Source organism: Homo sapiens, chromosome 12 (assembly GCF_000001405.40).
Source record: "Homo sapiens chromosome 12, GRCh38.p14 Primary Assembly".
NCBI classification, from domain to species: domain Eukaryota; kingdom Metazoa; phylum Chordata; class Mammalia; order Primates; family Hominidae; genus Homo; species Homo sapiens.
The window spans coordinates 2,530,207-2,543,224 of record NC_000012.12 but is presented as its reverse complement, the minus strand read 5'-3'; the positions used below and the strand labels follow the sequence as shown (position 1 = coordinate 2,543,224).

The window sequence follows — 13,018 nt, the reverse complement described above, 5'->3', positions numbered from 1 at the left end:
TGAATGGATCTGGGAAGGAGAATGCTGGGGAAGAAAGCTATACAGGAAGCTTGTTTTCCGATTTTCTAACCTCCCTCTTACCAGGTGCTATGGACCAAATGTGTTTCTCTGGGCTATCCAGTCCCTTGCTTCTGGTGAGAAGACTCCACAAGAAAATGAGGTTTCTTTGAAAGTGCAAGAAACATCTGCCAGCAGGAGTGGCTGGCCTCTCAAGAGATTTGCTAAGAAAATGACCAGTCTGTATTCTGGAACTTGGCTGGTAGCTCAAGATGGCTAACATCATTGCATTTTTAGTAATATCATCAATGGCTACAGCAAGTTGTATGGTCGAATTGCCAACAACTGATTACATCCTTTAATTAATGTCTTCTCCCCTCAACCCCACAAACATGTACTCTTGGTGGCCACTCTTGCTTGAACAGCACTTAGTAGGACTATTTCTATGTCTCAAGAGAGGTGCCCAGTTATTGTCTTACAGCACCAGTGTCTCCCCCGACCTGCTTTGGTGTGTGACTACTGGGGAGATTATAAAAAGTCATTTTCTCCCTGGAATAATCTCTTGAAACTGGAAGCACACCAGCTGTGCTAGGGGAGGAGTGCTAGAGCTAAGCCATTGTGTAGATTGCCCTTCCTTGGTGTTTGGGTTAGCAAACCCTCTGAGGGTTTACTCGCTGAAATTTGGGAATCCTCCATTAAACACCAGGTGGTGCTTTGAAAGTATGGCTGCACTGATCAGCGGGCCAGGCTTCTTACAGCTGTGGTCAACAAAAAATGGGCAATGTCAGAGCACACAAGCCTCACTTTCCCCATAGGAAGTGAGCTCTCTGTAAAACGAATGGCTCTCTTGACAGTTCCCTGTATTGCTGAAAGCAAGTCTCCAAGTAGTGAATCTGCCGCAGGCTGTGTCAGCGTGTGAACACTCATGTTCTCCTTAAAAAGAAATTGGGTCTCATTTAGCCACCATGAGGCCAGCATGATGTGTCCAAAGATGACCAAAGTCATCCTCATGAATAAAAAATGACTCCAGAAGGGGTTTTGGCAAAGGATTGAGAGTCAGAACCACTTTAGTTTTGATAAAAAAGAAAAATGGCACTAAGGTGACAGCAATAAATCCACGAAGGAAACAATGAGCAAAATCCTCTTTGGTGCCCGCTGCTGTACTCTCGTTTCCTTCCTCCCTGCCACATCCTGACTCCCTTCCTTCCCATCCTGAGACTGGCAGGAGGATGGGGAGAACCATCCTCATAGAGAATATCCGGCCTGTTCCTGAGGCCCCCGTCTCGGAGCTTTTTATGCGTCATGACTGACTGAGTGGCACCAGAGCAAAGCTCCACATGAGAGAATGAGGGATGGATGTGGGGCGAGATGAAACAATCTGCCTAGTTCCGAAACCTTTGGTCACCCAAAATAGCTTCGACTTTGTCCCAGGGATGGAGCTTTGTAATGTCCTGATGTGCCTGTCAGCAGGAGTGGCTGGCCTCTCATGAGATTTGCTAAGAAAAATGCCCAGTGTGTATTCCGGAACTTAGCTGGTAGCTCGTTATCCAAGGCCAGAGAGCTCACCAGCTGCTGTCAATCTTATGCCTCCTCCGGGAGGAAGAGGGTTGATGCCTCAGGCCCAGACATCCCAGGCAGTGGCTGGGGGTATCGGGAGCACTGCTTGCCCCACCCAAACTTCTCCAGTGTGGTGGGATGTCATACAAGGCCAATGGCTGAGTCCAGGTCACCAGTCTGCTGGGATCCAGTGTCCAGGCTTCCCGGCACTCCAGGATGGAACTAAGGAATTGACTTTGCCATGTACTTGGCCAGGTGCCCATCTTATTACATTTTTTGCATATGAGCGGCATAATTTGTATTTATTTTCTCAAAGTACTAATCAGACTTACGGTTAACAAGCAAAAGGATTCCTCATTTCCTACCTCATTGACTCCAATCTGGTATCTAAAACACCCTGTAATTTGGCTTCATCTTATCTGCTGTGAGTTGAGTTATATCCCCTCGGAAATTCAGATGCTGAGGTCCCAGCCCCCGCATACCTCTGAGCGTAGCCATGTTTGGAGACAGAGTCTTGAAAGAGGTCATTAGATTAAGATGAGGTCATGAGGGTGGGCTGAATCCAGTGTGACCGGATCCTTATAAGCAGAACAACTGTGGCCACTGACAGGTACAGAGGGAAGACGATGTGAAGACTCAGAGACAAGACAGCCACCTGCAAGCCAAAGAGAGGCCTGGGGACTGACCCCTTTTCCCTCATGACCCTCAGGAGGAACCAAGCCCGCCAGCACCTTGATCTCAGACTTCCAGCCTCTAGACTGATAAAATCAGCTCCTGCTGTTCCAGCTCCTGGGTCTGTGATACGCTGTTGGGCAGCCCTGGCCGACTAAGACACTGTCGGTTCTCTCTCATGTCCTGAGACTTCCTGCAGAAACTCCAACCACACCGGGCTGCCCTCCTCACCATCCTTCAACGTGCTGGCTCCGTACCAACCTCTGGTCTTTCCCGTGCATGGGGCCCTACGTCATGCCCTGTCCCTGGAGTGCCTGTCCACCTCCTGCACGTATTCCAGGGGTCAGCGAACTGCAGCCTGCCCTGTCTTTGTCAGCACAGTCCTCCTGGGACTGCCGTGCCCTGTGTGTGCTGTCTATCACCGCTCTCACACCACAGCAGTGGAGGGGAGGAGTTTCGGTAGAGGCTCTGTGTGGCCTGCAAAGCCTTTGATATTGACTCTCTGGCCCTTTCTAGAAAAAGTTAGCTGACCCCTGATCTATCCAAATTTCATCCCTTCTCAGAGGCCCAGTTCGCATCTGTGGCAGCTCCCAGGACCACCCTCCTGCCCACCGAGTCTCCTCTTCTGAGCTCCTGTGACTCCGGAGTCGGTGAGAATTTTAAGTAAAAACCTGGATCTGTGTTTTGGTTTCACCCTCTCCCTAGAATAACACTTCATATCATCATGGGGTTTTAAGGGGACTCCTAGGTGCCGGACAGTTGAGAGTCTGTCCTCAGACCCACTCTCCTTCCCTCTCCCCAGGCCTGGTGCTCCAGGAAGCTGACCTTGCTTCCTGCTTGGGCCGGCCCATGGGCAGCACTAGCAGGACGTCCGTGGGTGGACCCGAGGAGAGAGAGGTGGGGCGTTCGCTCCCCAACTGCAGCACACAGGGTTGGTGTAGACTGGCTGCTTCTTGCTGCCCAAGGCCACATGTCTGCCCCATGGCCCTCTCCACATAGCTGCTCTCTGACTCTGAGGCTGCCCCTCACTTTGTTCCTCCAGCCTTTACCGGTAACAGATCCACACAGCTGCTACCCTGGGGTACTGTACTTGCTGGCTTCCTTAAACCCTGCCTGCATCTTTATGAAACCCTCCTTAAGTCCTTAAACCCTGCCTGCATCTTTATGAAGCCCTCCTTAAGTCCTTAAACCCTGCCTGCATCTTTATGAAACCCTCCTTAAGTCCTTAAACCCTGCCTGCATCTTTATGAAGCCCTCCTTAAGTCCTTAAACCCTGCCTGCATCTTTATGAAACCCTCCTTAAGTCCTTAAACCCTGCCTGCATCTTTATGAAACCCTCCTTAAGTCCTTAAACCCTGCCTGCATCTTTATGAAGCCCTCCTTAAGTCCTTAAACCCTGCCTGCATCTTTATGAAGCCCTCCTTAAGTCCTTAAACCCTGCCTGCATCTTTATGAAACCCTCCTTAAGTCCTTAAACCCTGCCTGCATCTTTATGAAGCCCTCCTTAAGTCCTTAAACCCTGCCTGCATCTTTATGAAGCCCTCCTTAAGTCCTTAAACCCTGCCTGCATCTTTATGAAGCCCTCCTTAAGTCCTTAAACCCTGCCTGCATCTTTATGAAGCCCTCCTTAAGTCCTTAAACCCTGCCTGCATCTTTATGAAGCCCTCCTTAAGTCCTTAAACCCTGCCTGCATCTTTATGAAGCCCTCCTTAAGTCCTTAAACCCTGCCTGCATCTTTATGAAGCCCTCCTTAAGTCCTTAAACCCTGCCTGCATCTTTATGAAGCCCTCCTCAAGTCACCTAGTTTAAGAGTACCTACTGTTTCCATGGGGACACTGACCGACATACCCCTACGGCACAGGCAAGGTAGATATTATTATCCCCACTGACAAAAGAAAGTGTAGTCCCCAAAGGCTGAAGTTAGGTGCCCAAGGGGAGAGCTAGTAAATGGCAGAGAATGACAGGTCTTGAGTCCAGGCCTTTTTCAGCCCCATCAGGCGACGTCGCTGAAATGCACATTTGCAGGCTGGACTGCTGCTGAGAGCTGGTGGTGCAGGGGCCTGTAGCAGGGTTGCTCCAGCCCCACCGCAGAATAGACCTGAGCAACTGGGCTGTGTTACTTCCCAGGAATTGAGGAACTGTGGCACGGCATGTTTCATCTGATTTAATTTTCTCTTTCAGAAAACAATAACTTGGAAAGTTATTCCTTATGACTTTTCTACCGTTGGATAGATCAAGCACGTGGCCATATGTATTGTCAAGTGGATAGATGAAGGAACTCTTCATATGTGTTTGCCCAGTTTGGAGTCTTAGGAGTCTCTAATACTGTGAGTCCAGGAAAAACAACAAAGACAGTCCTCGCCTTGGCCTTGCCCTAAGTAGCTCCAAAGCTTTGGCAGGTCACAGTACAACTCTGGTCTCTTACATGGATAAATTGAACCGGAGGGTGAACTGAGGATCTCTTCTAAGGAAAAGAAAGGAAAGGAATGGCAAAAGAGAAAAGAAGGTTGTAGAATAAGAGGAAAGAGTGGATGAGAGAAAAAGAGAAGAGAAAAAGAAACACAGTTCCCAGGCCACAGCAGCCTGCCTGGGTGGAAAGGTCACAGAGAAAGGTGCCATCAGCTTCCAGAACCTTCTCAACAACTTCCTGCCAGCCCAGGCCCAGCTTGGCTTCCTCTGCATAAGCAATTAAAGCCTGGTTGATTTTAAGCCATCAGAAAGTAAATATAAAACAGGATTAAATATTAAGAAGCCAAACAAAGTGGCCTTATTAAAAAGGCACAATAGAAGTGCGCTCTGCCATCACCATAATTATGATCACTGCTATAAACTGGGAGGAGGCATAAATGCCTGCCCTTGATCTGCAGCCATAATCCAAAGAAGAAAGCCAGGGTTACTGTGATCTCAGCAGGCCATAAACATCCTGTGCTCCCAAGCAGAAAATCTCTCTCCACCATTAGGGCACCACGGAGTCTATCAGGCTGCCTTGGTTATTGCTGCCGGGTTGGCGGGGAGGTGGATGGGGCCGGGAGGGGGCAGGGGCAGTAAGTTTAGCTGCACCCAACAAACTCTTGAACTTTGGCACACTCCCTCTCCCACCCCCACCCCACCTTCACTAGAGATGGCAGGGCAGCCTGGGACATGCTCAGACCCTCGGGGACTATGGGGAAAACAGGCTATCTGACCACACAGGAGGGCGAGACACTCCAAGGGGAAAACACAGCTTGCCTGCAACCATTAGGGATGGGACAGGGATCTTCTAGACATGGAGTGTGGTGGTCTTTCTCTAGAGCACTCCTTTGGAAACCCAGTTCTCACTACTAAAAGGACATTAGTGGTGTCCTTTTAAGTGCTAAGTGCCACATGCCAGATGGTCACCCACGTGGTATGATTGGAAAGGGATAGAGTATGATTTGCACCCCCAATCCTCCTCCAACCCGGTTCCATGACACCTAATGGCCATTCCTTGATTTTAAGGCCTTGTCTCCCAGAGTGTGCAATAGCAACATCAGCCATTTCTATCTTCATATTAACAACAAAGCTCAGTCTCTCAATCACTCACTATATGCCAGCTACTCTTCCATGAATTTTACATACATTAACTGAGGTAACCCTATGAGGGAGGCATTAGATGTCCCCATTTTTTGGATGAGAAAATTGAGGCTTAGAAAATTCAGTCGTTTACTCCAAGCAAGCGCCAATAAGATTCAGGATTTGAACCCGGGTAGATCTGATGCCAAGTCCATCCTCTTAGCTAGAATGTCTATTGATGAATTTATAAAGCCTTTTCCTATCTGTCATGGGAGAGCAAGGGTAAGAGAGCCCTGAGGATGTGCTGGCATCACTAAGTGGAGGAGGAGGGCAGTGGGTGCAGGTGGTGGTCCTGGGGAGAAGCCACTTATTTTATGACCCTGCCCAGGGCCTCCCTGCCGGCTCCTCTGGGCAGAAGGAAGCAGTCAGCAGGCAGCGTGGTTAGGAGCATGGGCTTGGGGGCCAGGGGCCTGAGTTTGGATCCTGGCTCTGCCACTTGGAGCTATGTGACCTCACTCTTCTGTGGCTCGGTTTCCCCAGTGTGAAATGGAGATCTTAATCATGACATCATCACAGTCAGAAGGGGTCTGTAGGATTGTAGGCCAGCCCTTCATTTGATTTTTTATTTTTATTTTTTCTGAAACAGAGTTTCACTCTGTTGCCCAGGCTGGAGTGTAGTGACATGATCTTGGCTCACCGCAGCCTCCAGCTCCCAGTCTCAAGTGATCCTCCCACCACAACCTTGAGAGTAGCTGGGACCACAGGCATGCACCACCATGCATGGCTAATTTTTAAATTTTTTGTAGAGACAAGGTCTCACTATGTTGCCCAGGTTGGTCTCGAACTCCTGGCCTCAAGCAATCTTCCCACCTCAGCCTTCCAAAATGTTGGGATTACAGGCATGAGCTACTGTGCCCCACCTAGCCCTTCATTGTATAGGTGAGAATGTTAAGGTCCAGAGAGGGTCATCAGCTTGTCCAGAGTCGCAGAGGCAGATAGTGGTAGAGTTTTGAACCTCTTTCCACCATCAGTGCTGCCTCCCTTTCTCACTCACCATTGATGCACATCACGGAGAGGCCAGGAGCCCACCCTTGGTCAGAAAAGTATCAAGGATGGACACAGGCCCCAGGCTCCCTCTCCTGTACGGAAGTCAGAGTTTTACTATGGATGAGTTTTGACGTTTGCACCCTGTTCTTTGCCGTTCACAAAGCTATGCAGAGCTCACGATTTGTTCTCATTTTCTCTCTTCTCTGGGGCCCCGTCTTTCCTGCTTCACTGCTTTCTGCTGCTGAAGAGCAGGTCAGATTTCCTGCAAGGAGGATCTACAGGGGCCCAGCACTACCTTGAAGGCCGTGAACAGCCACAGAGGGAAAGCCGCCTTGAGTATGGAGCAAGACTTCCTCAGACAGGTCTCATTTGTGTCTTCCCTTCCAGCAGGCAAGTAAATTGCTGCCTTAAATTTCTAGGCTGCCGCCATTGATGACATTTATGTGAAGTGAGTCATTTTAACTCCAACCCCATGGTGTCTCTTCAGCCCCATAATTTCATGAATGAGTTTATGGGCAGCTGTCAGAATATCGATCAGCTTGCCCTGCTATGTAGCGTGTCCTTTGCTTTAATTCTTCTCCCAACTCTGCCTGCTGGATGCTTGCAGTTTGTTTTCCTCTTTCTTGCCCTGGGGCAGACAGAGTCTTTGGTCCATCTGGCTACTTTATGTGTTGTTTTAGTTTTAGGTTTTTTTTTTTTTTTTTTTTTTTTTTTTTAGACAGGGTCTTGCTCTGTCACCCAGGCTGGAGTGCACTGGTGTGATCACAGCTTGCAGCAGCCTAAAACTCCCGGGTTCAAGTGACCCTCCTGCCTCAGCCTCCCAAGTAGCTAGGATTACAGGCCCACACAACCACACCCAGCTAATTATTTTGTTTTTTTTTTTTAATAGAGATGGGGTTTCACTACATTGCCCAGACTGGTCTTGAAGTCCTGGGATCAAGCGATCATCCCACCTCGCCCTCCCAAAGTGCTGGGATTGCAGGCGGGAGCCACCATGCCGGGCCTCTGGCTGCTTTTTCTTTTTCTTTTTTTGAGACAGGGCCTCACTCTGTTGTCCAGGCTGGAGTGCAGTGGTGCGATCTCAGCTCACTGCAAGCTCCACTCCCCAGGTTCATGTCATTCTCCTGCCTCAGCCTCCCAAGTAGCTGGGACTATAGGCGCCCAGCACCATGCCTGGCTAATTTTTTGTATTTTTAGTAGGGATGGGGTTTCACTGTGTTAGCCAGGATGGTCTCAATCTCCTGACCTCGTGATCTGCCCGCCTCGGCCTCCCAAAGTGCTGGGATGATAGGCGTGAGCCACCGTGCCCGGCTCTAGCTGCTTTAATTGCCCACATCTTTTGTGAGAGGTCCTGCGGCTTCATGCATTTCTAGGCTCACTGCTACAGGCAAAGACCCAGGGAGGCAGGGCTTCCCTCTCCCATGTATCAGGCAGGCCCCCTTAGGATAGAGGTTCAGTGCTCAGGATCATGTCTAAAGGGGGCAATAATAGAGTTCTTTGATGGGGAAGGGCCAGTAAGTCATGTTGTGTCACTTATAGAGAACAGTAGAAGAAAAAATGGAAAGGTTTAATTTAGATAAGGAGAACCTAAGAGACCTCGCCACCACCTTCCAACATATGAAGTTTTTTTCCACAGGAGGAAGACAGCACCTGCCCAGAGTAGTTTTAGAGGGCACTGCACTAAAGAAGGAGAACTGCAGGGGAAGATCGTGCCCTAATGGATGAAACATTTCCCAAATGGCCTGGCTATCTGGAGAGATGAGGACTTGCTCATTAGTAGAAGTTTCCAGGCAAAGCCTGGATAAGCATTTGCTGCAGGGGTGGGGGAGGTGAAGGTTGAGAGGAGATCTCTAAGATTTCTTTGCCTTGGAAAAAAAAATTAAGCTCTACAAGAAAGGAGTGGGTTGATTGGATGAAACAGTTAAGTTGTTGGTTGTAAGGGGACTCTCGGCACAGAGAGAGAGGGGCTTGAAGCCCACACGTAATTCTCTCATCTTCTGGAGGAGTCTTTCTCAGCAGGGACTTCACCATGTCACATCACTATCACTCAGCACACGGGACCCTTGTCCTGGCTCCCAGGGCCCTTGGCAATCCGCTTTCACTCTACCCATCTAACTACACCTTCCCTTTCCAGCATTCGCCCTCTGATCCATGCACTCAGTCCTACTCTCTGCCTCCAGAATATGCCACACACGGTTCCTCTTGCTTTGACACCACTGATGGAGGGCTTAATGCATCCAGGGCGCTTGCTGGGAGCTGTGCGCCTGTGTCTGGGTCTTTGCCCTGCTGCCCCACTCTTGGAATTCCATCCCCACCACTCCCCCACATGCACAAAAGCCTTCCTACCTACCCTCCAACTCCGACCATCTCCATGAAGCCTCCTTGACCTACGTGGCATCCCAGAATGGTCCTTTTCCCTGAGGCATTTACTATTTGTGCCATGTAGCTTGGTGTGCTGACACATATGGTTCTTTGCTCGTTCATTAGGAGAGTCCAGCAGTGTGGCTGTTCAAGCGCTCACATGACAGCACCTCATTTCATGCTCCCAACAACCTGGGGAGACTACTGGGGAAGGCGTCTCCAGCCACAGGTGGAGATGAGAAAACTGAGGCTGCCGAGAGCAGAACCGGGACAGGGACGCAGGCCTTCTCCAGCCTCTGCTCCCTGCTGCTTCCCCAGCCCTGGCGCTTTTGACATGTGCTCCTGGGACAAGGAAGAGCGAGGCTGCCCTAGCCCCACCTGGCAGACTCCACCAGCCCTCGTATCCTGACTCCCCTGTCCTTTCCTCTCCACCGAAGCTCCCAGAGAGCACACCTCTGCTGCACCAAGCAGCCTTCCCTGGGAGGGCAGATGGGAATGCCCCAGGGAGGGAACATGGCTGGGGACTTCCACTGGAGGCATCGGAAGCACCCTGGAAAGACTGGCTGGCACTGGGGCACACACCCCAAATTCAGCTTTTGCTGTTTCTCCTTCACGCTCAGAGAGGGGTATGAATGAGCATCTTGGGGCCAAGGGACGGGGTGTGTACTCCTTCACTCATTCAATGTTTGATCCATTATTCTGGAGCCATTTATCCAGCCACCCACCCATGAGCTCCTTCCTCCCTCCTGGGTTATTTTGGGTAAGGGCCAAGATGTGGAGACTGGTGAGCAGTGGTTTTCATGCCCACAGCAGCTGGGGCAGCTCTAAGCCAAGCACATTGAAGGAGAAACCGACCCCAAACCAAAAGTGCAAAAAGAACAGACGGGGATGAACGCCTGCCTCTGTCACTCTCATTATTCCACTGAACAGCCTCTCCCTCCAGATCCTTCCTCTCAAGGCTGAGTCTGAATCAAAGGCCTTCTTCACCCTTCATCCCTCCTCCCTCTTTGCCCGAATCTTAGAACTATTCTGTAATTTCTCAGGAGAGCTGGGCTTGTTGGGGACGCTGATTGTTCTTCCTTCAGAAGAGAGAAATGGTTTTTGAAATCCAGAGAACAGGGACCACTGTCTTCAACAAGCAAAAGGCCTGGGGGCATGACAGGAAGTGGGAATGTTAATGATCCTGAAATCGACTTGAAATGTGAGGCCTGACCTTGGGCTCACCTGGGCCCGACTGCCTGGGGTACACTGCTACCTCTCCGTGACCTGTCTCCTTCTGAGTCTTAAATTCTAGGAGGATTCATGCTGCAGGCTCAGTGGCCCAGGAAACCTGGAAGGAAGGAAAGGACACAGAGGTTCTGATTTGGGGATGGAGTCCTGGTCCTGGTGGATGGAACACAGGAAGGCTCTTGGGGTGAGGAGTGGGAGTGTCGGGCAGTGTGGGCTGTGTGAACACAGGCATCGGTGGGCCTGTCCAGCCAGAACATGGGCCCTGGGCAGCTTCAAGCTGCTCTATCGCTTTTGCTGCTTACATTACAAGAGTAACAACTACCTGGATGGTGAAGTTGGGATGTGCCTGATTTGGGGAAAGCAGAGAGGAGACAGTGGCCTGTTACTATCTCAATAATACTGTGGGGGAGCGGGCCTTCTTGCAGATGGGAGTGACCAAGCACAGATGTCAGAGAGGAAGGAAGGACTGTGTCGAGGGGTGGGAGGGAGAGAGGCAGACAGAGAGAGACAGAGAGATCCCTGATGCCTGCCTGGGCCAGAGGCAAGAGGCAAGAGCTCCTCTCTGCTCAGTGCTGGCTCCTTGGTTGAGAAGGAACATGGTGTAGCAGCTCAGCGCTTCCCTCAGAGTCACTGGGAGGACAAAGGGAGAAGAGGTGGGAAAAGATCTCAAAAGCACAACCCCTCATGGAAACATAGGAGGCAGGAGGGAGCGCAGTGACAGAAAAGCAATTAGTGTGAGTAATTAACCATGCCAGGATAATTCACCACACCATCGGGAGGATGCCACTGCACCCAGGACACTGTCTTTCCACTGTCACTCAATAGCTGCAGGTGTCAGCTGGAAGACCTTCCAGCAGCTGAGGCTTGCACAAAGATGGAAGGGTTTTTTGTGACTGGTAAGTTCCTACACGGAGAGTGTGTAAGAAGCAGGGTGGAGAGACTCCGTAGTGAAGGTGTTGTAGAGGAGTTTCACACATAGGTGGGGATGACGGGAGAGAAGGAGAGAACCTCAGGACACCTCCCGGCACTGAGGTTCTACTGTTCAGTGCTCTCAAGGTAGACAGACATTGTCAGGGTAGTGGCTCTGGGAAAAGGGCAGGAGAGCGTGGGCCCCGAGGAAAGAGTCAGCTGCTGGATGCGTGCTGGCAGAGAAGCTGTCCAGAGTCCTTATGCAGTGGACACTTCCTCTCTTGTGACCTCTGCTGCCTGGCCAAGATGGGAGAAGCGTCTCTTTGCAAAATGAGGGCATCCTCTCCTCAGCTTAGCCACAGACTTGTTCTGGAATGTGAAACTCCAAGAGAAAGACAGGGCTGGATGGGGCTTCAAGGGGATTGGAATGCAGAAAGATTAACAGACAATTAGAGATCCTTTGGGTATTACTTTTACCTATGAGGAAATTGAGGCCCAGAGAGGAAAGGGTTGTTTAGGTTACAGGGCCAGTTAGTATCAGAGCTGGGACTAGGAACCAGGTCTCCATACTCCCTTTCTAGGGCTTCTTTCCACTCCACTTCTCCTATCACCAGGCTCATGATTCTGGGGGGTTACCATGTGCTTGCCTCTCTGACAAAAGAGAAAGAGGGAAGGCTTTCGAGTCAGATGGGGCGTGCCTGGGTGTAAGCCTGGGTAAACCTCCTGTTAGCGAACTGGCCTCAGGCCAATGATCTGAACCTCACTTTTCTCATCTGAAAATGTGAAGTGAGGGCAAAGATAATATGGGCAAAAGGAGGTGCTTGATGAGCAGTAGCTGTCGTTCCTAATATTCAGTATTAGAGCTCTGAGTGTGTAGGATGCCTGGACACTGGGCATGTATACAAAAGCACATGAATATAAAAGCAAGTGCAGGCCAAGAGAAGAATGTCCTCGGGACCCCTTGCTGTGCGTCTAAAGGTCGCCTGGAGGCGGTACTCTTACTGGAAGGGATACAGCATTCTCAGGGCCACCCCCTAAAGATGTCACAGTTAGCCGTGTTCCCTCTGGGGCCATCAGCTTCTCAGATGTGTTCCTCATTGCTGTCATTCTCGTCATGCAGTATTCATAAAGTTCCTACTGCGTGTTAACGGTCACTTACCCATGGCATGGTCCCTATCCTGGAAATGATCTTTATGATTCATCACGAAAAAAACTGAAGCACCGCTGGAAAAAAGAGAGCTGCATTCAACTCCCTTTTGTGCCCCCTTGAATTTGTTTTAACCCTAAAGTAAGCCAAGGCCCTGCCAGAGATTGTGTTCTGTTCTCTGAACCCACTCTCTGCCATTCAGAAAAGGTCACTTATGACCACAATTTGGGCTCCATCATGGTCCTTCTGGCCTTGCTCTGGATGATCACTGAGGGCAAGAAGAAATCTTTAGGATGGCCACTGCTACAGATCTCTGTAGTTTAACTGGAAAGAGTTTTTACTTCTAGGAACCAGTAACACCAGTACCAGGGCAACATGGGGCCTCAGCTTCTATTGGGTTTTAAATAGATTTTGGCCTAAACATATTTATCAATATGCAACAATTGGGTTAGTCTAATGACAAATGTCATCCCCTTCCATCGCCAGAGCAACAGGCCATTTCCATTAGGAGTAATGTTTCCTGGCCAGATTAAGGCATGGAAAATAATTTTTGGTCATCAACAATTC

At 50.1% G+C, this 13,018-nt stretch overlaps 1 protein-coding gene across 56 annotated transcripts in view, besides 1 other annotated feature; it reads right to left on the bottom strand.

Moving 5' to 3' along the window:
* Positions 1-13,018, bottom strand: part of CACNA1C (calcium voltage-gated channel subunit alpha1 C) — a 727,171-nt gene that overhangs the window by 154,726 nt on the left and 559,427 nt on the right. The window lies entirely within an intron of this gene.
* Positions 9,567-10,074: an enhancer, noted in NCBI's record as "H3K4me1 hESC enhancer chr12:2642317-2642824 (GRCh37/hg19 assembly coordinates)". NCBI's record gives its function as "activates a minimal SCP1, AML or CMV promoter by ChIP-STARR-seq in primed H9 embryonic stem cells {active_cell/tissue: H9 hESC(primed)}" and the evidence as "EXISTENCE:reporter gene assay evidence [ECO:0000049][PMID:30033119]".